General features: G+C 38.6%; 1 long non-coding RNA gene across 1 annotated transcript in view; it reads left to right on the top strand.

The window, feature by feature from the left end:
• Positions 1-13,470, top strand: part of TTTY11 (testis expressed transcript, Y-linked 11) — a 34,070-nt gene extending 20,600 nt beyond the window's left edge. The window contains exons 2-5 of the long non-coding RNA NR_001548.2: positions 1,839-1,922; positions 7,481-7,783; positions 12,580-12,895; positions 13,377-13,470. This is a non-coding gene — a long non-coding RNA (testis expressed transcript, Y-linked 11). The remainder of the gene's footprint in view (positions 1-1,838; positions 1,923-7,480; positions 7,784-12,579; positions 12,896-13,376) is intronic.
• The last annotated feature ends 11,968 nt before the right edge of the window (positions 13,471-25,438 follow it).

The raw sequence follows: 25,438 nt of genomic DNA, 5'->3' as shown, positions 1-25,438 counted from the left end.
CACAACATGCAGGTTAGTTATGTATGTATACATGTGCCATGTTGGTGTGCTGCACCCATCAACTCATCATTTAACAAGAAAAATTTGTATGTCTTTGGGCCCTGTTTTTTTAGAAAAAAACAAATTCTAGAAAATATTAAGCTTTATTAGAAAATATATTGGAATCAGCCAAAATGCAGCATCTAATTGACATACAGGATTGTGGTGCATGCACGCCAGGAACATAGTATTATCACATGTCAAATAAGAGATAAATGAGGTGAAAATTCAGAGGAAGGCAACAGAAGTGATCATTGAAAAGAAAGAAGTGCCATATAAGAATCAAAAGACTGTGTGTCTTTCACCTGAAAGATAAAAATACTGAACATATATTATTGAAATCTGAAATATCTTGAAGGGGGGGTGGAGAAACAGGGTGTAGCCATGTTTACCACATTGTATTATATCAAAACCAGTAGGTCTCTCTTGAAGGAAGAAATAAAAGTAATTTTAGGGCACAGAGAGGGCAATTCCAGTATAGATAACAAACTTATTCATCTATTTACAGATTTCAAGAATGTCTTCCATGCATCAGATACTTCAAATTATGGAAAAATATTTTTCATAGAATATGCACAGATGGGAATGAAAATTCAGAGATTAATATAACATCGATGATCCCTACATGGGCACCAGTCTGGAAGGAAAGAAACACGAGTTAACATATAATTATAATTTTACCCTACCAGATATACCTGCAAATATCTCTTCAATTCCATTTAAATTTCTACCTCCACTAAGCTAAGCCACCTCTGCATTTCTTGCTTGAACTACTTAAATATACTTTTATATTTATAAACATCTTCCTTTTCCAACTCCTTCTCTTGAATTCATTCTCCTTATAATATTCAGAACAATTTTAAGAATTAAATCATGTCAGTACACACTTCTGCATAAATCAGAAATCTTTCAGTATCATTCCACTTCTGCATGAGCTGTGCTATTTCTCTCAAACTTCATCTCACACCCATAGAATATCCCCCCTTTATTTTTCTGACATTGACCTTTTTATCTGTTCCTATAACATACCAATAAGTGTCTGACTTTGAAGTATTTGCACATTTTTTTTTTTTTTGAGATAGGGTCTTTTTCTGTCCCCAGGCTGGAGTACAGTGGTGTGATCTTGGCTCACTGAAACATCTGCCTGTTGGGTTCAAGCGATTCTCCTGCCTCAGCCTCCCGAGTGGCTGGGACTATAGGCGTGTGACCCCACACCCAGCTAATTTTTGTACTTTTAGTAGAGACAGGGTATTGACATGTTGGACAGGATGGTCTCAATCTCTTGACATCATGATCCACCCACCTCGGCCTCCCAAAGTGCTAGGCTGGGATTACAGGAGTGAGCCACTGCACCCGGCTGTTGTTTCTTTTTATCTGGCACATTCTTGTGTTTGTTTTTTGAGTGAATAGCTCCTTCTTATCCTTCAGATATCAGCTTAAATTTCATCTCTTCAAAGAACACTTTTCTGTCCACTAATCCACACTTCCCGTCCTGTCCCATGGGCTCTAATATCAAATAACGTTTCCTTCCTTCATTGTTCTCAAAACAATCTATATGTTTATCTACTTGTAATTGGTCTATAAGTTCCACTAGGGCAGATACCATATCTGTCTTGCTTGTCTTTGTGTCCCCAATATATAGTTCCAGTACATTGTACATAGAACTTCATAAATTGGAATTAAAAAAACAAATACATAAATATGATAACGTCTATAAAAATGATGTAGAACTTTAAGCTACTTAAGAATGATAGCATCATTCACACTATATTTTTTATATATTCATGCGTTATGAATAGCATTTCACATAAATTAACCTTGAAGAGAGAAATGCAAAAGAAGAAGGAAATTTTCCATCTTACAAAACTACATTACTTTAAAAGGTAATGGATAGTGAAAAGATGCTTAACTAAGTTCATGGATAAGTAACTACGTTGTGTTATTAATAGAAACTAAGATGTTTGGAATGACATCATAGCCTTTGAGGTCTGTATTAGTAAGACACTCACACCCTTAATCATCATTCTTTTAGTTCCCCATGGGCCAGACCCAGGCAGAAACAGATGATTTTTTTTTTATGATCTCATACTCTTATTATATTTTCTATTTTTCTTTTCAATATTCTGTAATTTCTGACATATACTGTAAATATTTACATCTACAGCAAATAACATGTTTATTTCAAAAGAACTGTCAAGGGTATAAGATTTTAAAGAGTTATAGTTTACAACAGTATTTTTAATGAATTGAGTCATATTAAAATTTTATTTTATTTTTTACAATTTCAACTTTTATTATAGACAAAATGCTGTGTGTGCAGCATTTTACCATAGATAAAATTGTGTATGTGTGGAGGTGTACTTACATGGGTATACTGTGATGTTGAGGACTGGGGTACAAGTGATCCTGTCACCCAGGTAGTGAGCATAATACCCAACAGGTGTTCTTATAGCCTATGCCCCCTTCCCTCCTTTCCCCATCTAGTAGTCCCCACTGCCTCTGGTTCCCATCTTTATGTCTATCTGTATATGATGTTTACAATGTATACAAATTATTGTATACACATAGATATAAAAATGGAAAGAATAGACAGGGGATACTACTAGATGGGTCCAATTTCTATCTTCTGCATATGGATCACCTGTTTATCCCGACATCATTTATTGAATAGGAAGTCATTTCCTCCTTGCTTACATTTATCAATTTTTTTAAAGATCAGATGCTTGATCAGAGAGCATGTGTGGTATCTTGTTTTCTGTTCTTGAATTAATCTGCTTAAGATAATGGCCTTCAGTTGCATCCATGTTGCTAGAAAGGATATGATTTTGTTCTTTGTTGTGGCTGTGTATTTTTCCATTGTGTATGTGTACCACATTTTCTTTATCCACTCCACCATTGGTGGGCACCTAGGTTGATTCCATGTCTTTTTCTATCGTGAATAGTGCTGCAGTCAAGATGCCACTCCATGTGTCTTTTTTGTAGAAAAATTTGTTTTCTTTTGGGTATATACTCAATAATGGAATTGCTGGGCTGAATGGTAGTTTTGTTTTAAGTAGTTTGTGAAATCCCAAAACTGCTTTCCAGAGTGGCTTAACTAGTTTATATTCCTGTCAACATTGCATAAGCATTCCTTTTTTTTCCTACAACCTCACCAGCATGTGTTATTTTTTGGCATTTTAGGAATAGTCATTCTGACTGGTGTGAGATGGTATCTCATTTTGATTTGGATTTCTTTTTCTCTAATGCATAGTGATGTTGAGCATTTTTTCACGTTTTTTGGCCACTTGTATGTTTTCTTCCAGAAGTGTTTCTTCATGCCTGTTGCCCATTTTTAAGTGTATTTTTTGGTTTTTACTTTATGATTTAAATTTATTTTAGTTTCTGAATATTAGACCTTTGTCACATGCATGGTGTGTGTTTATATCACTGACAGTTTATTTTGCTGTACAGAGGCTCTTTATTTTAACTATGACACTCTTGTCAATTTTTGGTTTTGTTGCAATTGCTTTTGGGGACCTAGCCAAAAATTATTTGCCAAAGCTGATGTTGAGAAGGGTATTTTCTAGGTTTTCTAGAATTTTCAATAGTTTGAGGTGTTATATTTAAATCTTTAATCCATCTTGAGTTGCATTTTGTGCATTATATAAGGAACGAGTCTAGTTTTACTCTTCTGCATATTGCTCACCAGTTTATCCCAGCACCTATTATTGAATAGGGAGACATTTCCTTATCGCATATATTTATTGATTTTGTCAAAGATCTGGTACTTACAGGTTTGTGCCTTTATTTCTGGGTTCTATAATCTATTTATTAGTGTATATTTCTCTTTTTGTACCAATACCATGCTGGTTTTGTTACTGTAGCTTTATGGTATAGTTTGAAGTCATGTAATGTGATGCCTCCGACTTTGCTCTTTTTGTTTAGGATTGCTTTGGCTATTTGGGCTCTTTTGTGGTTACATATGAATTTTAAAATAGTTTTTTCTAATTCTATGAAAAATATTATTTGTATTTTGATAGGGATAACATTGAATCTGTAAATTACTTTAGCCTGTGTGACCATTTTAACAATAATGATTTTTCCAATCCAAGAGTAAGAATATTTTTTTCTTTCATTTATGTCATCTCTCATTTCTTTCAGCAGTGTTTTGTAGTTCTCCTTGTAGAACTATCCACCTCTTGGGTCAGGTGAATTCCTAAGTGTTTCTTTTCTTTTCTTTTTTTTTTTTTTTTTTGATTACTGGAAATGGGATTGTGTTCTTGATTTGGTTCTCAGCATCAACATTATTGGTATATAGAAATGCTACTGATTTTTATACATTGAGTTTGTTTTCTGAAGCTTTACTGAAGTTGCTTATTATTTACAGGAGGCTTTTGGTGGAGTGTTTAGTGTTTTCTATATATAGAATCATTTTCACCACTAAAGAGAGGTAGTTTGACCTCTTATCTTCCTATTTGGATGCTTTCTTTTCTTTCTTCTGCCTGATTGCTCTTACTAGGATTTTCAGTACTATGTATAGAAGTGGCGAGAGAGGGCATCCTTGTCTTGTGCCAGTTCTCAAGAGGAATCATTCCATTTTTGCCCATTCAGTATGATGTCAGCTGGGGGTTTGTTATAGATAGGTGTTATTATTTTGCATTTTGTTTCAATATTACACTAAGGAAGATAATATTTCCTCAAAATTCAAGCCACAATCTCTCTAAATTAGATGCAAGCTCTTATTTTTTTGACTTCTCAGTACATTTGCATATTCCTCCATTTTGAAGTACATTTGTTCATTTGTTCAGAAAATGTTTATAAAGTCTATTTAACAAATAGATCTAATGTATCTACCATGTCCAGTTCTAACTTTTATCACTACTGTGTAGATAATACATTAGACCATTACTATGTAAACAATCTAACGCTGAAGCCATTTTCTTTGAGACCAGAGCATGTAGCTGATTCTTTTTCTGCATATCTGTCTGGCAGATCTCCTAACTCAGAGTTTGACACATAAGAAATGCATGTTAAGGAGACTTGATTGAATCAAAGCAGTCCCTCTAAGAAACTCCCACGGATTTTGATTTCTACACATTGACTCTAGACTTAAAATATAAAAATCACATAAAAAACAGATAAAGTCGCTTCTGGTGAGCATTCTATCTCACATTTAGCTCAATAAAATGAATATAGGAGCAAACTTAATGAATATAAAATCTTCACACTAACATTGCAAGTTGGGGATTCAGCCAAGAAAACAATTATGATACCTTATAAAATTGTTATTCCTGAGTGGTTAAATTGATGTTCTGAATAACTGCTGTCTCTTAATCTAGGAAATATGCTGGACCTCATTAGACTATGTTAGCAAGACGAAATGGCAGAAAAAAGAAGAAACTTTTAGGTTCCTAATATATACTTGCATAATAATTGTTAATGGCTCCTCAAATACTGTTAGAATCTTTCAAACACACTTTTATGCTTAATATGGCCCCAAATTTGTATCTACTTGATCAACTTAGCAGATCATCTGGGGAAACTAAAATCCTGTAGGTAAATTATGAGCAGTTTTAAATGTCTCATGTTACATGTTCACTAAATACCATGCTAGAAAGGCATTTTAATTGCTGACATGGTGACTTGGACAATGATGTGATGCTTCTTTTTTTGTTCTGTTTTGTTTTGTTTTTGAGATGGAGTCTCGCTTTGTTGCCAGGCTGGAGTGCAGTGGGGCATTCTCAGCTCACTGCAACCTCTGTCCATGCGTTTCTTCTGCCTCAGCGTTCCAAGTAGTCAGGATTACAGGCATGCACAACCACATCCAGCTAAATTTTTATTTGTGTTTTTTAGTGGAGATGGGGTTTCATGGTGTTGGTCAGGCTGGTCTTGAACTCCTGACCTCGTGATCCACCCGCCTCAGCCTCCCAAAGTTTTGGAATTACAGGCATGAGCCAACGCGGCTGGCCTAACCATGTGCTTTTTAAGAGGTATGGCTTAATTGTTCGATCTCTGTTATTTTTTAAATTTTAATATAGAAAAAGATGATTTTTCAGGTATTCTAAATCTACTGAGTGCTCCCTGTTTTAGTAAATGAGATGAACAATTTCCAGTTACAGAGACATTGTGTTATAAAAGAAAACATATACTTTTTGATCTTAATCATTTAAAAAATATTATATATACTCACCTATTTTCAGAAACAATTTTATCTAAATTAAGGTGACCAGATTATAAGGTATACCGAGATTTGATTGATACTGTCTATAGAAAGCTGGTTTTTATTTAGGGGTTTATCTAGCTTTCTCTTAACAATCTCACTTATTATTACTACTATTATTATTATTATTATCATTATTATTATTATTATTTTGGATGCTTTCTCACCACTGTAAAGTGAGACTTTATACTTTCCCTCTCAAGAGCTATTAGTTCCCTTTTTAAAATAAAATTAAAAAAACATAGCTGTGTAGAAAAGACAGCATACTTTATCTTATATTTCCTGTTTTAAGGGTTATGATTCAAAATTTATTTACATACTTGGTTGATGAAATTTACCATCAATTAACCAGAGTAATGAGGTGAAGCATCCTTCTGTTTTAATTACACAATCTCTGGTTACTTAATCTTAAACCATTTAAATTCACTGGGAACCAGAGGACCCAACTCTACCTAGAGATATCCTGTTTAGAAATATTAAATATCCAAGAGCTTTAACATATGACCTGCATTTTAAAGCATTCTGAAAGATCAATTTGGAAACTCTGATTTGTAAATTGAATTTCTTTGTGATAAGAAAAATTAGCATGAGATCTACCCTCTTAACAAGTTTTTATGTGTACAATACAGAATTGTCAACTATAGGCACAACATTGTGCAGTGGATCTCCAAAAGTAGTCATCCTCAGTAAATAAAACTTTACCACCATTGATTAGCAGCTACTCATTTTCCCCTTCCCCTACTCCCTGGAAACCACCATTCTACAATCTGTTTCTGTGAGTGTGACTATTTTATATTTCTCATGTAAGTAGTATCATGCAGTATGTGTTCTTCTGCAACTGGCTAATGTCACTGAGCATAATGATTTTGCTTCAACAAATGTGTTAACATGCCCACCTCAGGCCAGGTCCTAATTGCTTCAGGCTCAGTACATTGTTTTATTTTATCAGTTTCAGAATGGGCCCAGAGTCTGACTGTATTGCTTTCAGCATAGTTCCAAGGTTGGATGACATCACCTTCAGACTGGGTCCAGGATATGACTGCATTCTTTTCAGATTGGTTCAATGGGTGGATTATTTGCCATTCTGGCTGCATCCAGGTAGTAACTGTTTGAGGATAAGGTTGAATAACATTTATTCTTACATTGTTTCGGTTCTGAAACCAAGCACTCACAGTATTAATGTCAGATATGTTCAATCATTTTGCTTGAATATGCCAACATATTATTTTATCAACCCTGCAGGGACCTCTCATGGTGCACCACCTGAGCGAGGGCCTTGGATGTCTTATGGTGGAAGCAGCTGCCATGATTATAACAATACATGAGATAGATACGGCAGAAGTCAGGAAAGTTGCTCAAGGAGCTATGGCGATTTTTATTCTTGTGGTCATGAGAACATTGGCAGAAAAGACCAAAGGAATCCACCTTCTCTGGATAGGGTGCACTCTGCTCCTCTTGAAGCATATGGTAGTTCAAGTTATGTGCCATCTACAGGAGATGGTGGGGAAAGTCAATCTGAAAAAGGCGACTAAAGCGGATTTTAAAGCAAGTATTCAAAATAATAGTTACTGCATACCAAATCTTGTTTGCAAATCGAAACTTGAAATGTTATTTCTGCATTGTTACATGCACATTACTGAAAGAAACATGTTGATTTTGTGAATTTTCTGAGGTATTCAAAGAAAAAGGAACTTTTTTCAGAGTAATATCATACTTGTTAATGCTATTTGAAAACTGTGTGTTTAGATGTAATATCTACATTAACATTTTCAGCATAAAATTTTACATGTAATGCAAAATGACTGATGTTATTGCATAGCTGCACATGATCAAAAGCAAATTTAATAGGAGAGTAAATTGTATTGTTTGTTGAACATTTTCCTTTGTTTCTTTGAACATAAGTATATACAAAATTAGGCATGTGATATGTCTCCCTTGCAGGCTGCACAAGTTTTCTGATTAGGCTGTTTCTCACTAAAAACATATAAGCTTAAAATATTTGAGAAGTCTTGAGAAAGCCTCCAAAACTCTCTCCCTCACCATAAAACGTTTATTTTTTAGAGGAATAGTACATGACAAAAGAGATAATTAGATGTGCTAGATACCAAAGTTTAAGACATCTGTAATATTCTACTTGAAGCATTCTGTGGCTGAAGAGGGATAATGGTAATGAAAACTATTTTTTTACATAAAACAAAAGTGAACCAGCAAAGTTTCTCAAGTACATAGCATAATGAAATTAAATGTTCATAGTTTACATAGTGGAAACTAAGTGTTTTGTCTGGGGAGGTACTCATATTAATTTTTTCTTGAAAGTTTTGACAATGTTTGATGTAAGTAATGGTTTAGTAATAAGTTCTTACAAATAGAAATAATTTAGAATGGTTGAGACTTTATCAATTGTTTTTTTGAGATGGAGTGTAGTTTTGTTGCCCAAGTTGGGGTGCAGTGCTCCATCTTGGCTTACTGCTACCTCCAGCTTCTGGGTCCAAGTTATTCTCCTGCCTCAGCATTCTGAGTAACTGGATTAGATATGTGTGCACCACAGCTGGCTATTTTTTTTTTGTATTTTTAATACAGACATGGTTTCACTATGATTGCCTGGGTGTTCTGAAAATCCTGATCCACCCTTCTTGGACTCCCAAAGTGCTAAGATTACAGGCATGAGCATGTAAATTGGTAAAATTTGGACAAGATCTCAATTTTTATTAGGTAAAGGTGCAAATAATTTTAAAGAGAGAAATTACCAACTTTGATTTAAAAGTGAGTTATTCATGTTATGAAGTTGTGTTTTCATTCACCTATAATGTAGGATTGTGAGGATGAAGTGAAAACACAAAACTCTGTACTCTTGTGTATCTTACTGTCCAGGCATGATGGCTCAAGTCTTCAATTCCAGCTCTTTGGGAGGCCAAGGCTTGTAGATCACTTTAGGTCAGGAGTTCAAGACCAGGCTGGCCAACACCATGAAACCCCCCATTTCTACCAAAAATACAAAAATTAGCCGGGTGTGGTGGCCCAAACCCATAGTATATTACAGTTAATTGTGAGGCTCAGGCAGGAGAATCTTTTGAACCTGGGAGCCTGAGGCTGCAGTGAGCCTATATTGCACCATGCACTATAGCCTGGGTGACAGAGTGAGACTCCAACACAAAAACAATTACATAAATCAACAAAAATATAAATAATAATTATGGTTTCCTTCAGTTCAAGCACTTATCATTTATTTTTTCTTTTTTAGACACAGGTTCTCACTCTGTTGTCCATCCCGGATTGCAGTGATAACATTGTAGCTCACTGCGGCCTTGAACTCCTGGGTTCAAATGTGTTAGCCTTCCATTTGAGCCTCCCAATAGCTGGAATTACAGACAAATGCCACTGTGCCCAGCTTTTTTGTTTGTGTGTGTGTGTTGTATGGACAGGCTGGTCTCAAACTTCCAGGCTTACATGATCCTCCTTCCTTGGCCTCCCAAAGTGTTGTGATTATAGCCATGAGCCACCGAGTCTGGCATACCATTTGTTGGTGTGAGTGACATTCCACCTTCGCTCTTTTAATTCTTTTGAGATACACATTAAATCATTAAGTGTACTCATCCTGTGCTACTGAACACTAGATCTTATTCCTTCTAAAGAACTATAATTTAAGTCACCCCAATCCCCTCTTTGGTTCCTTCGTTACCAGTACATGGTGCTTGTATCAAAATATCGCATGTATGCCAAAAGTATCTACAACAGTTTTGTACAAATATTTTAAAATAAGTAAAAAATTAATAAAAAGGGCATCTCCAACAAACTGATAAGATAGGCTCTAATTTGTTCCTCCATTCACAAAGCAACAAATAAAAAGCCACACCGACATCAATTCCCTATGAGATAAACCCAGAAACTAGCTGAGATACTCTTGCATATAGGATTATGAAAATACTCTCTTAAAAAGAGGTAAGAAAAACTGAATCATGGTCTTGTTCTGGAGTTTATGTCTGTCCCAGTGGTCTGAAATCAATAGGGAACTGTTATTTCACAGCTTCTCTCAGAGGACTGAAGTGTTAAGCCACAAATGTAATTCCCCAACTGTTACAGCTGCTTCTCAATAAAATGATTCCTAACTTACCTATCTCTGGATTCTAACACAGATTGGCATTCATAACTCTCCTAGGACCTCCAAGATAAAAGAGGGATTTAAATAGATACTCAAGCATTTCTGAAACTGTTTCCTCCTAGCTTACTGGATCTCAAGCAGTCAAGGAAGCTCAGCTCCCACTTTGTGATTCAAAGAACTTAGATTGTACACCTAATGCCTTGACTTTTTTTTTCTTTCTTTATTCTTTTGAGACAGAATCTTGCTCTGTCACCTAGGCAGTAGTGCAATGGCATGATCTCAGATCACTGCACTCTTCCTCCTGGGCTCAAGTGATTCCCCTGCCTCAGCCTCCCAAGTAGCTGTGATTACAGCAACCACCGCTATGCCAGGCTGATTTTTGTATTTTTTAGTAGAGACAATATTTCACCATGTTGGTCAGGCTGGTCTCTAACTCCTGACACCAGGTGATCCCCTGCCTTGGCCTCTGAAAGTGTTGGGATTACAGGCATGAATGACCACACCCAGCCATGTCTTGATTTTTATAGCTTCTTCCCAGGTATCTTGCTTCTGATTCTGACTTTTTGATCTGTCAAGGTCCTCTGAGACTAGGCATATAGGCATTTCTCATCTGTCTTCATCATTACTCACTCTAGCAATATACTGAGCTTCTAAATTTTCCCTTGAAGAAGTCAAACTACCCAACTATTGCCCTGACTTATCAGGTGGCTCCCTACGAGTTTGAATACTGACTTGCCAATCCCTGAAAGCTAATGAAGCACAGCTTTTTATAGTCTCAGGATTCTAAAGAAGAAAAAGGATTGTGTTACAGCAGTTTTGCATGATTTTTAAACTTGCCTATTGATATATTTTGGACATTTGTGACTCCAAGCCTCAGAATGAAATGTAGTCTTCACACTGCAAATGGCATCTAGTCGGAGGTGTTCCTGTCATGGGGCTGCATCTCTCATAAATGGCTTGGCACCTTTGCCATGATAAATAAGTGACTTTTCCAGTGTATTACTTCCCACAATGGAGCTTACATCCAAATTGGTTGTTGAAAAGAGCCTGAGACCTTCTCTCCATCTCTGTCTTGCTCTCTCCACATGTGACATGCCTGTTTTCCTTTTACCTTCTGTCCTGAGTGGAAGCCTTGTGGGGCTCTTACCAGATGTGGATGCTGGCACCACACATCTTTTACAGCATGCAGAACCAGCAGCCAATGAAAGCTCTTTTCTTTATAATTTTTCCAGTCTCATATTCTTTTATAGGAACACAAACAGACTAAGATGTGTATCTCTGGCTGATAACTTGCACATATCAGTAAGCAGTGGAGCTCCACATTCACTATTCCCTGCATTCCGTACAGGACAAAGAGGTGGTTTTCAATGGTCCTGTGAGCTCTTCCTTAAACGCAACCCTTGGTTTGCTCTAGCTTTCAGCTTCTCCACGGAAGCACCCCAACCTTTTAAACTCCTCCCTTATAACCAGTTTTTTTTTAATATCAAGTCTTACTCTGTCACTGAGGTTGAAGTGCAGTGGTGTGATCTCAGCTCACTTCAGCCTACATCTCCCGTGTTCAAGAGATACTCCTGCCTCAACCTTCCAAGTAGCTAGGACTACAGGCACGTGCTACCATACCAGGGTATTTTGTTTTTTATGTTTAGTAGAGAAAGGATTTCACTGTGTTAGCCAGGATGGTCTCAACCTCCTGACTTAGTGATATGCCTGCCTTGGCCTCCCAAAGTGCTTGGGTTACAGGTGTGATCCTGGACCAGTCTTTTAACTTGCCTGTTTCTAGGGTCTGATGTGACATAATAGGCATTCTGTAATTCTGTTAATTCCCACCCTCTCCACAAAAAATCAAAACTCACAACTTTCCTTAGACAAAGACATCTTAGTGAATGATTCTATAACTTGGGATTTAATCTATGACAACTTTTTTGATTGTAGAACTGAAAATAGCCACATGCAGGATAAAATATCAGTTTTAATTTGATGTTTTTTTTCCTCCCCAAGCCAGCAAAGTGTTGCATACAAAATTTTTTTCCCAGCCTCGCAGTTTCTTCAGAGAGGAGAGAGTTGAAAGCGTACATTCAACTTTTTCTTTTCTATTTTGCAATTTTTCACATGATGTTCTCTCTAGCCTTACCCGGTAGGAAACATTGGAGGTATCAGACAACTGGGGTCAGTTAGAAAATAACTACATGGATGGGGCTCACACTGACCATACAGTAATCTTACTGTTGGCTTTGCATTCCAGCCAGAGAGGTGCTGTTTCAGAGAAACTAGGCAACAACATCATTCTGCAACAACCAGCCGTGGTTGATGGGTCTGCCAGGCTCAAATCATTGGCCAACTGCCAAATCCCATCCTGGTTTTTTTCTGCAAAACAGCCAATGCTGTGACAAAGTGGCAGCTTGGTGATTATCCACAGAAGGGGCATGTGACCCCACCCCATTGCAGCAGCCATACTTTTGACCATCCTAGCCCTGTGTGCTCCATCCATCCCCAGGCTGAAAATCGGAGGCAATTTAGTGGTTAAGGATGAAGTTTCTGGCCCTACCTGGACCCAGCAGGCAAGTAGTTTTATAATAAGCCTTGGTATCCCTGGAAGGAACTTCACTTCTGATAAATCTAATGGAAATAACTTGGGCATTAGAATCTCTAGAGCACATGATTTTATTGAGTAACAGAGAATCCCAGTCTCAGCTCCAGACCCTCCCACTGTGGCTCGGAAGCAACTACCATGCTGGGGAACTTGCCAGTCTGAGCCAATAAATGTAGTCTATCCAGGCTCTGTCCAGCAGAAAATGGACCTAGACTCTCTAGCCTATGTCCCCTATAGGGAGGAGACACTCTCAGCCCTGGCCTTTCCCTTAGTCAGGGAACTATGTAATCCTTGAGAAAATTTCTGGGCAATATGAAAGGTGTCAAGGGAGCTGATTTTCAGCCTCAGGCCCTCCTGCTGCTGGCAGAAAGCTAGCATATCTATGCAGAAACCTTCCAGTAAGCATCACAGCCAAAATTACAGTCATCCCATTCTCTGTTCCACAGCAGAATCAAAGTGGATCCAGTGTCAGCTCCAGCCTATTCAATTTCAATTTTTGAAATGGAGTCATTACTAATAAATAACCTACCAGCCAAAAAAAAAGAAGCCCAGGAATTGATAAATTTGGGATGAATTCTACCATATCTACAAAAAGCTGCATCATATTCCATTGTGTGGGTGAGCCCAGTTTGTTTAACTGGTTATGTATGTATGCTTACACACACACTGACACATACACACACACACAAAACATACACAAATATGCTTCATGTTCTCTCAAAAAGCAGCAATGGAAATGCCAAGCAGGCCTCTGGTATTTTCTGAAGGCTCAGTGGGGAAGGACCCACTCCTTTGCCTGCATTACATTGCTGCCAGCAGCCTTACACAATGGCAGCTTTTCAGTGGTTTCTTACAGCCCTCTAGAAAACCTGCAATTATGTTTATTTATATGGTGTACAATATATTCATTAGCCTTTCTCTCTAAACTTTAGGCTGGGTACAGTGGCTCAAGTCTGTAATTTCAGTACTTTGTGAGGGTGATGTTAGAGATCCTAGGAGCCCAAAAGTCTGAGATTACAGTAATGTATGATTCAGCCTGGTGACAAAGCAAGGCTCCACCTCTCAGTAAATAAATGATAAAAATACAACTGATAATAATATTTTTTGTTTTACCATTTGGAAACATAAATTTCATTGATCAAAAATATGTATATTCGATAGCCACTGACACAGCACATTTGCTTGTGCATGGGAACCAATGCAGGAAAGCAGAGGGACTGGATGCTCTTTCCTCTTAATTCCTGAATACACTTTTACTGTGATGATAAGGGGTGAATTTGGATGAGGAAGGCTTTCTGCCAGATCCATAAAAATTGTGGCAATAAAATCCTCAAAACATCAGGAAACACAACAGTCTTTACTGGTAATAGTAAGTGTAAAATGTTTTCCATATTTGAATTCATTTTTAATTCAATGTGGATTAGGCAGCATAACACAGACTACCCTGCCCCTAGTAGCATGCAATTTGAAGACAAATGTCACTTAGATTTGGTTGTTGAAAACTGCAAGTATCTTAGTTAACACCATAGTTACATGAGTAATTTTGACAATATACACTAGCTTATTTTAAAGTTTCTGTGAGTCCACTGGAGACCTTAATATTATTTTAAACATAATTCAAAAACCATGTGGATAATGAGCAAATGGCAAGTTTTTATTTTTATTCATTTCCCTTTGGTTTTATGCCTTTCATTCTCTCCTTCGTTCCTTCCTTCCTTCTTTCCTTCCTTACTTCCATCCTTCCTTCTTACCTTCTTTACTTCCTCCCTCCCTCCTCCCTCCCTCTCTCTTTCTCTTTTTCTTTCTTTCTTTCTTTCTTTCTTTCTTTCTTTCTTTCTTTCTTTCTTTCTTTCTTTCTTTCTTTCTTTCTTTCTCTCTCTCTCTTTCTTTCTTTTTTCCTTTCTTTCTTTCTCCCTGTGTCTCTCTTTGATTTTTGTTTTTAGATGGAATCCTGCGCTGTCACCTAGGGTGGAGTGCAGTGGCATTATCTGTGCTTACTGCAACCTCCCCATCCTGGGTCCAAGCAATTCTCCAGTCACACCCTCCCGAGTAGCTGTGACTGCAGGCATACGACACTAATCTTGTCTATTTTTCTTTTTTTTTTTTTGTACTTTTAGTAGAGACCTGGTTTCACAATGTTTACTCAGGCTGGTCTTGAATTCCTTTCCTCATGTGATCCACCCACCTCAGCCTCTCAAAGTGCTGCGATGTCAGGCATCAGTCACAATACCTACTCAGTTTTATGCATTTATCTCTTCAGTGATCTCTCCTATTTTATTATTTTATTTTTATTTCTGAGACAGAGTCTCAATCTGTTGCCAGGTTGGACTGCAGTGCTGTGATCTCACTTCTTTGCAAACTCCATGCCTGGGTTTCAGTGGATTGTCCTGCATCAGCCTCCTGAGTAGCTGTAGTTACATTCATGGGCCACCATGCCCAGCTAGCCTTTGTATGATATTAGACTTGGATTCATGCCATGTTGACAAGGCTTATCACAGACTCCTGACATCAAGAGATCCACCCACCTTGGCCTGCCAAACTGCTGGGAGTGCAGGTTGAGCCTCTGTGACCTGCCTCATACCTGTTTTAAAGCTCAGTTGATAAGCAATATTGTCTTCAGAAGAGTCTTGATGGTTTGATTTTTTCCAGGGTATTAGCACTAGTGACGTTCACCTTTAAAGTTCTCCACAATTACTCAAATCAGTACACAACTCAGGTTTTCTAGGAGTCTAAACTGCCTTTCAAAATTATCTAAAACCTAGTGACTTAAAACAATAATTATAGTTTACTCTCAGTCTGCAAGCTTCCACAGTCTATCAGCCAAATGATTGTGGTTCAGGGACACTCAGGAGGGTGCAATCTCTTCATGACTCAGGATGTGGACACTGTCAGGTGTCTTCTCATCTCCCTGGTGTCATGGCTAGCATGACTCAAATAGTAAGGGCTGGACTGCTGAGATCCTCAGGCATCTCCTTTTAGTTTTATGATTCTCTCCATGGGTTGTTCTTTCTGCATAGTGTTATCAGGGTGTTAGACTTTGTGATATATTGGTCTGGGGCTCCTGAGGGGTTTGTCCCCATGGGATCAAGAGACTTAGGCAGAGCTGTGTCACATTTTCTAACTTAGGCCAGAGGTGGCCCAGTATCCAGAAAATGCTTGCCCTGTTTTCTGTTCCTTAGAAGCAAGTACTGTGTTCAGTCGCATCAGGAATATTTTCAAATGGGTTTGCAAAGAATTTCAAAGTGTGTTTTAGACCACTACATTGGCCATGACTAAAAATTACTTATTTTTATAAGTGATGGATAGCTTTTACCCCACATAATAGCAGATACAGACTTTCAAGCTTGAAACCTGTATGTCATAGCTCCAAACATTTGGTTATATGTTGAAATATCTCTCAAGCAAAAATTTATTTTGAAATGAGAGCTATAAATAAATAAAATAAATGAGATAAACTCATAAGTATCTGGATGAAATGCTCATAAAGAGGTCAGCCTTAAAAATGTCATGAGGTCTAATGTACCACTCTTTTACTAATTCTATGTATATTACTTGGACAGGAGGACAAGGACTCAGGTGTCTGCTGGTCATTCTCTGCACCTTGAAACAGTGGCTGGGGCACCAGGAGTAACACTTTCAGCCAACATCGTATGCTGAGGATGTGGAGTCCATCCTGGTTAAGGAGGTTGTCACTGTATATATATATATATATATATATATATATCTCACTATATCAGAAACTCAGTAGTCATAGTGAAATCAAAAAATAATCACAGTCAATTTGATCTCATACCTAGACTGAAATATGAAACTTCAAAAGACAATAAAGTTAAGAACGTGGGGCTTTTCAGAATTTTCCTATATAGATAAAATTATTGGTGACTTTCTCTAAATTAGAAAACATAAACAAAAATCCATGCTTTCTATATGTGTAACTAAAAATATTTTTATTTCTATCAGTTATGACATGCAAGCAAGTAATAAAGTGAAAGTACAATAATAAGCAATAAAATAATATAAAGAAATTTATCTGTGTCAAAAAATTCCATTGCAGCTATTAATTTTACAAAATCATAGAAAATGCTTCATGAAACTACATTATATAATACTTTTTAGTATTTCACTTACATTTTAAATAATCAATAAATTAAAGGAAATTCTGAATCATTATTTTTTAGCAATATCATTGTCCTTTTGAGATTAAGGATTTTAAATAAAACATTAAAAACAAATTGTATTGACTGATACCATCTTTCAATGAAATAATACTTCGTATTTGTAGTCTTGTGAAGTATAAATTTCTCCTCATAGTGGATCTTTTATAACACCAGTGTTATTATTTTCTCTGATACAAACCCTGTGATATTTCATGGCTTTACTGTATCCATACATTACCTGCCTCCAGACAGTAGGCTTCAAACAGATGGAAAAATTATATTTGTGACAAAATTCTAGGAAGGGGAGTGGTAAAACAGGAGAATAATTTCTAAATTTCTAACTGTTCTTCAATGGATTTGGATATATTTAGATATAGACAAATATTTGTACGCTGCAAGTTTGCACATGTGTATATAAATTTATATGAGATGCCCATAATATATGGTTTGTGTAATCTTTTAATTCTCAATTTTACATATAGGAAATTTGGTAAGAGTTTACCCTCATCAAATTCTCAATTTGAAGTACTATACTCAATTTCATATAAAGCCAACACACTCTCTGTCAACATTCATTTCAATTAATCCAATAAGGTCAACTGTTGATAGCTTCATTCTCCTTGTACTCTGTTAGCAGCCTGAAAGTTGATTCTCACTCTAATTCAGCGCTCAGGGAGCCACCCACAAAAGATTATCACTTTGCTGTGGATTGTGACCTCTGACTCCAACACTTTCATCCTATAACAGTCCTACCTTTGCATATTTAATGACCTTTGTACATGTTTAAAAAAATCAAAGTATAATGAAATGTCAGGCCGTGTGGTGGAATGTTCCATTGTTTCTGTATCTCCAATTGACCTTTCATTTTTATAGAAGATAAGAAAAACAATGCAGTACATTTCTTAGTATCCAGTGCAATGCACCTTTTCTTATTAATATGCCAAACTCATCCCTTCAAGGCACTGACATCCAAAGACAGTTGGATGTATCAAAATCTCTTCTCATTAATAGCCATTACGTTAATTACTGTTGCCAAGATCTGGAAACTGACTGTGTAATCTTTGGTTGGAAATTGTTAAAATGGCTCAAACTACTGGAATAACTATTTTTTGGGATAATTACTGCTGTCATCTTACTGAAAAATACCACATTAGATAGCAGCTTTTCGTTAGATAAATCCTGTTAATTTTTAATGTCCATCATTTATGATATTGCACATGTAAAGATCTTTGATAAATGATTAGCTGAGCAATGACTAAAATAACTCACAGCAACTCAAACATTCATTTACTTACTAGAAGTGCCATACATCATTAACTTCTGATGAAAACAAAGTTGGGAAATTGCAAGTGCTAAATTGGTTACTGTAGTATGTATTTCAGGGTATTGTATAAAACTATCCATTCCATGTATGATATGTCACTTGCAAGCATAAAGCTTTAGGATATACATAAAAAAGTCTTTGGTTCTTAATATCTCTCTACATTTGTTTTCCGGCCCCAACACAAAAACATCTATGTACTCTATTCTTAGCTGAGTTGACTACGATTTATTAGGGCTTAAGTAAACAGAATAAGTATTTCAAAATTTGTTGGCCAAGTATGAGAAATCACACTCTCAACATAAGAAATAATTATTCTCAAGTGCCACTGCAAATGCAAAATTGAAAGAAGAAATTAAGTCTAACATATTACAATATTCTAAAATCTAAAATTTCCTCTTTGAGGTCTGGTCATTCATGTCTGGAATTTCAGCCCTTCAGGAAACTGAGTAGGGAGGACAGCTTCAAACCCAGATTTTGACACCAGAACAGGAAACATAGTAACAGCTATCTCTAAAATGAAATTAATTATTTAATTAATTAAATTGAGCATGATGTCACACATCTATTGTACTGTTTACTCAGGAGTTCAAGGTTGAAGTTAGCTGTGATTGCACCCTGCATTTCAGCCTGAGCCACGTGGCAACACTTTGCCTCTACAAAATAATTCAATATAAAAAACATATTAAATTAAAATAAAAACACTTTCAGGCATTTTTTGGAAGTGTGTATGACTGCTCTAAATGCATAGACATTGTTTAAAGTTGAGCAGTTCATTGGGAACAGTCAGTGAACATTGTTTATATTGTTTTCCAAAAATTAGGACAAATACATTAGAATATTATATGTAAATATCTAATAACTTTTGTGCAATAAATATTGACAAATGTCAAGCCATTGTGTTTATAGGCTTTTCTTTCAAAATATTCATAGTTTAATTGGAGGATGAAGAGAAGAGCAATAATTGCAATGTACTCTGACAAGTGTTACAATATATGCAATTTAGTAACTTAGTTGGAGAGGAAGGAAATTCTTAACTGGGTTTACAGGGGTTTGGGGAACCTTCTTAGGGCAAGAACAATTTACCACATCTGTAAGGATATGAATTTGCAAGAATGTTTGGAGAAAAACATGGTAGAAAAAAAGAAACATTCTTTCTATCAATGACAGAAGTTCTAACAGAGCATATGATGCATTTGGCCCAATTCTTAGACCATACTAGCTCAATAAATATTTCATGAATGAATCCATGAATGGAAGTTATTGGGAAAAGGATTCTGGAAGAGGATTTCAAAATCCTATAAAGGAAAGGTAAATAGCCTGGACTTTACAATTTTGCCTGCTTTTCTGTAAGTTCTTGTTATGTTTACTACCTCATAAGCTCTGTTTTATGTTTTGGTCTTTTCACAAATATCACGCATGAGTCGTTTCTCAGACTACTTCTCTCTTGATCCCTTGATACTATAATTGTCTCTGATAGTCCTTTGTGTGAGGTCCTGGGTTTGTATGCCCAGAGATACATCAGTCACCTCTCTCTGGCACTGTTCTGTAATAGAGAGGCATGGCCCTTGGGAGATATGGTTCCTAGTCTCCTATAAAAATTACTTCCTGTTTCAGCTCAGTCAAGGAGTGCCACTGCAGAGATTAGAGAACAAAAAGATGAGAGAATATAGTTTGTTTCCCTCTCCTTCTCAGTAGGGGATATGTTTCTGCAGTGATTCCATGGCCTGCAGGACATACTCTGTGATTCAATTTTCTGTGTAGTGACCCTAATCCTAGGCTGACTCTTCTAATGCCTTTTTCTCCAGTGGTCTTCTCAAAAGGATTTTGATACTATTTTTGGTTTTAAATTAAATATATATATATATATAGATAGATAGATATAGATATAGATATAGATATAGATATAGATATATAGATATGGAATGGGGGCAGGAAAGTGCCCGGTAGAGGAAGGTGTGGCTCTTAGCTAGGCCTCCATACTCAGGCCTGTGCTCACTGACCTAGGTGAGGACACGCACTTCTGTTTTCCTGCCCAAATTGGTGAGGACATGCGGTTCTGTTTTTTTTTTTTTTTTTTTTTTTTTTTTTTTTGCCTTAGCATTGCATTTTCCAAGAACAACCTGGCCTGACTTACCCCCATCCTGTGCTATCAGAAACCCTGAGATGCTAGTAGGCAGAGACACAGCAGCTGGACATTGAGAGGAACCATCAGCAGAGCAAGACACAGCAACTGGACCTTGAGGGGACACCAGAGAAAGGAGAGCACAAAGACTGAGGTGGTGGGCCATCCACTGCAGAAGAACACAGAGTTCTGCGGGGCTGTGGGAGGACAGTGCTGAGCTGCCTCATTCCAAATCAAAACCACCTTTCCACTCCATCTCCCTTCTGGCTCCCCATCCATCTGTTGAGAACTTCCACTCAATGAAACCTTGCACTTATTCTCCAAGCCCAAGTGTGAGACAGGACAATTCTTCAGGTACACCAAGGCAGGAAACCCTGGGATCCAGAAATCCCTCTGTCTTTGTAGTAAAGTACGGTGTCTAATTGAGCTAACATAAGCCGCTTACAGATGGATAAACTAAATTAACAACGTGTAACACATACCCACTAGGGATTCAGGAGCTGTAAGCATTCACCCCTAGATGCTGCCTGTGGTCGGAGTCCCACAACCTGTCCTCATTCCTTGCCTGGCTGTGGGGAGTAAGGGATGTTTTCCCATTTCAATATGAGTCTGTTTCCAATGCAGTGTGCTTTCTGAAATACTGCAGTGTTACCTTATTTCATATATTTGACAAAACTATAACTAATCTGAGAAGAAAATAAATGATGGAGAAGAAGGAAGAAATATGGAACATTGTGTTTCACAATGAATGTAAACAACTATAATTATGATTAATCAATATATGAGAACAGCCAAGCAGGTGCTTAATGTCGTGAGTTGAGGGGGCACTACTCCAGTGTCTTGGGATTTCATTCTGAAACAGAAAGTGTGAGCAGAAATAAGGTCAGATAGGGTAGAGGATACAGTCTGGTGAGGTGTGGATTGTGTCCCACACTTTCACCTGAAAAGAAGGTGAAGACAGATGACACAGAAGTTGCTTTCAATTGCATCCCCGCATTCCCTTAAGAGCACAAGCAGTGCAAACCATGACCCGGTGTTCAAGTGGGAGTTTTCCAACGTGCCATGAACATATGGACTGCAAACTGGGGCTTTGCACTTTGAGGGCTTTCTTACATGGGGCCAAATGGGAGTGGGATGGATTGATGCTGGGTGAGATATGGCCTCCAGAGTTGCCTCCTTTTTTCTGACTTCCATGTTCCTCATCAAATTAGGGTTTCCTTGTTCTGGCTCACTGTCTTCCACACTAACCATTTCCTAGTTCACAAAGGATGACCCTCATGGGAATCCATTGTGTGAGTATTTTCTTCAAAACACTGTCAGGTTTTAATGACTCGACAGCTTTGATACTTTAAAAACCATAAATTCCTGTAGAGCCACCAACAGGTAAACTCTTGTTTTCCCACTTCAATCAAAGGGTGGCATGACTCCTATGGAGTGAGAAGCAGGCAACCACATCTAACATTTGCCTGGTAATCTAGGCTCTGTTTCATTTCTTCTGCACGTCCTTTCTCATTGTCATAGATCTCCTTCAATTGGCTGTTGCTGGATGGGACTGTCTCTCACTACAGATCTTTTGGAAGCAAGGGATTTCAGAAGTAAAAAAGACTTCGGATAGACTGGCTGAACTTCAGGTTGTGGGTTGTGGTCACATTGTGGGGCTGAGGATGTTTGCACTTTGCAAGAGAATTTTGTGTCCTCTGACAAGACTCATTGAACATTGCTTGTACTCCAGCACAAGGCAGCTCATTCTCTCAGGTAAGCACTGATTTTTCTTGGCTTTCATGGAGTTCTACATTGCCTGCCAACAGCACTACTGGACACCATTTTCAGGTTTGCAATCACCACAGATGGCCTCTGAGACACTGTCACAAACTCATCTACCCACACACGAGGCCAGTTCAAGGTGAGGGAACACTGCTCCACCTTGAAATTGACTTTGTAGTGGTTCCTGCCTATCCCGGAGAGCTCCTGTGAGGCCCAGGGTAAAGAGAGGCAGTGAGGTCAAGAACCCAGCAATCTTTCACAGACACCCATCTCTGGGGTCTCATTTATGATTCCATCACATAAAGAACCCTCAACAACTCACTGGACCCTTTTCCAATCCCCATGTGACCTGATTCTTGCACACAGCCTCTTCTGGGAATGGAGTCAGAAGAGCAGTTTCCAGCGACCATCTCACAGTCTCTAAATACTTCCTCCTTCGCCAGGACCCCACCACCAAGATGACCCGAAGGAACAATAAGGTAGAGATTTTTAGGGGCTCAAGTAGGTTATTGCAGGCAATTTTTTTTTCTCAATACCAGGCTGGCTCTGCCTGTACCATTTTCCTCTGCTTAGGCAGGCTGACAGTTCTGACAGCCACACACCTGAGCCTGCCTCATGAATGCTCATGAGCTAGTCTCAAAGCACCAGGCCTGAGCAGTGAGCTCTGGCTAGTGACACAATAAATGCCACCATTGCCTAGTGACAAGTCCCTGTGGCTTGGCAGAGAATAAGACCTCCGTGGAGATGCATCAGCCATGGACTCTCGCCTATCTTCTCTGTGGGATCTGCGTGACAGTCCCATGACTCTAGTAGAGGGTAGATGTGAGCCAGCCCGAAGAAACATCAAGCAGATTTGCAGGAATGAACCATGAAATCCCTAAGGATACAAAGCAGTCTTCAGGATGCCTGAGGACTGCTTAGGTGTTACAAGGGTGACTCTTTTTGAAATATGCCCCAAAATGATTACTAGGTACAACTCACCTGTGTTCCCTGGGGTTGATCTTTCCCAGGTATGGCTTCCTGAAGAATTACACAGACTCAGAAGCTGGTTTGCTGTTTGTTTCTGTGGGAGTGTTGCGAGTATTGGGTGTCTGCTTGCATGTGTGGCCTTGTGTATCTGTGGGTGTATGTGTGGGAGTGTGTCCCTGTAAGTGGAACCTGCCTAAAGTAATGTGGTAAATGCATTGCAGCACTCCTCTCTCTCTTTTTTTTTTTTTTTTAAGAACCCAACATTTTGGTCACCTGTATGTGTGGTTCTGCTTGGGCTGTGTGGCTCCCTGTTCTTAATTTCTCTGTAGATATTGAATCCGCAGTGTAGATATTGAATCCCAAGAACTGATATCTCCCACTGTTTTGTAGTCCCATGGCCAACCTAAGGTGAGAAATACTAGCAGTCTTGTCCTCAGGACTCCTTGAATTTACCTCAAATTTGGTTCCCAGCTGAACAAGAGCTTAAAGTCATCAGGGGACACTCTTCCATTTTCTTGGGGTTTCATTCTGGCAGAGAGTGTGAGCAGCAATAAGGTAAGTGAGGGGTGAGGATACAATCTGGTGAGGGGTTGATGGGGTCCAACACCTTCACCTGCAAAAAGGTGAGGACAGATGACACAGAAGTTGCTTCCAACTGCATTGCTGCATTCCCTTAATTATACCAGCAGTCTACACTATGGACCCGCATTCATCTGGGAGTACTCCAATGTGCAGGTAATATTGAGAGAAAACTGGGGACATCATGGCAAACTCCCAGAGTGGGATGGATTGATCCCAGTTGGGATGTGGTCTCCATATTTGCCTCTTCCTTTCCTGACTTGCATGTTCCTCTTCGGTCTAGGGTTTCCTGGGAATGTCTTGCACACTAAATATTTCCCAGTTCATGGAGGATGACACTCATGGGAATCCCTTGCGTGAGTGTTTCCTTCTAAACACTGTCATGTTTTAATGACCAGGCTGCTTTGATACATCTAAAACCATAGATTCCCATTACAGATGCCAGCAGGTAAATTTTTGTTCTCCAACTTCTATCAGAGGATAGCATGATTCCTGCGGTATGAGAAGCAGGCCGGAGTGTCTGGCTTTTGCCTGGTAATCTAGGCTGTGTTTCATTGCTTCTTCATGTCCTTTCTCATTGTGCAGGGAGTATTTCACTGGGCTTTTGTTGGATGCGACTGCCTCTCAGCACAGATTATGTAGCTGTCAGGGATTTCAAAAAGTGAAACGACTTCGGATAGGCTGGCTGTGCTCCAGGTTGTGGGTGATTGTCTCCTTCTCAGGGCTGAGGTTGCTTGCACTTTGCAGGAGAATTTTGTGTTCTGTGACAAGAATCATTGAACATTGCTTAAACTCCAGCAAAAGGTATCTCATTCTCTTAGGCAACTCTTGATTGTTCTTTTCTTTCATGGGGAATCCACAGTGCCCCTCTGGACTACTGGACACCCTTTTCAGGCTGGCCATCACCACAGATGGCCTCTGAGACACTGTCTCAACCTTATGTGCACCAATGAGAGGACAGTCCGAGGTGTGAAACACTGCTCTGCTTTGGACTTGCCTTTGTCATGGTTTCTGCCTTTCCCAGAAAGCCCCTGTGAGGCCCAGGGTGAAGAGAGGCAGTGAGGTCCAGAGCCCAGCTATCTTTCACTGACACCTAGTTCTGGGGTCTGAGGTGTAATTCAATCACCCAAAGAATCCTCAAAAACACACCAGACTATATTCCAATACCCATGGGACCTGATTCCTGCACAAGGACTCTTTTGGGAATGGAGCCAGAAGGGCAGTTTCTAACAAACACCTTGCAGTCATGAAATACCTCTTCCTGCAGTGGTACCTGATGATGGAGATGGCTCAAAGGTGCCCTGAGGTTGAGATTTTCATGGTCTTAAAGTGGGTTTTCATAGGCAGCCTTTTTCCTGAAACCAGGCTGGCTCTGTCTGTATCATTTTCTTCTGCTTAGACAGGCTGACAGCTCTTACAGCTGGGTGTCCCATCTTGCCACATGAATGCTCATGCTCCAGTCTCAGGGCATCAGGCATGATTGTGAGCTCTGGCTAGTGTCACCACGAATGTCACCATTGCCTACGGACAAGTCCCTGTGGCTTACCAAAGAAGGAGACCTCCCTGGAGGTGCGTTAGCAGTGGACTCTCACCTGT

This window comes from Homo sapiens, chromosome Y (assembly GCF_000001405.40).
Source record: "Homo sapiens chromosome Y, GRCh38.p14 Primary Assembly".
Lineage (NCBI taxonomy): Eukaryota > Metazoa > Chordata > Mammalia > Primates > Hominidae > Homo > Homo sapiens.
This window is presented reverse-complemented; position numbering and strand designations above follow the sequence as displayed.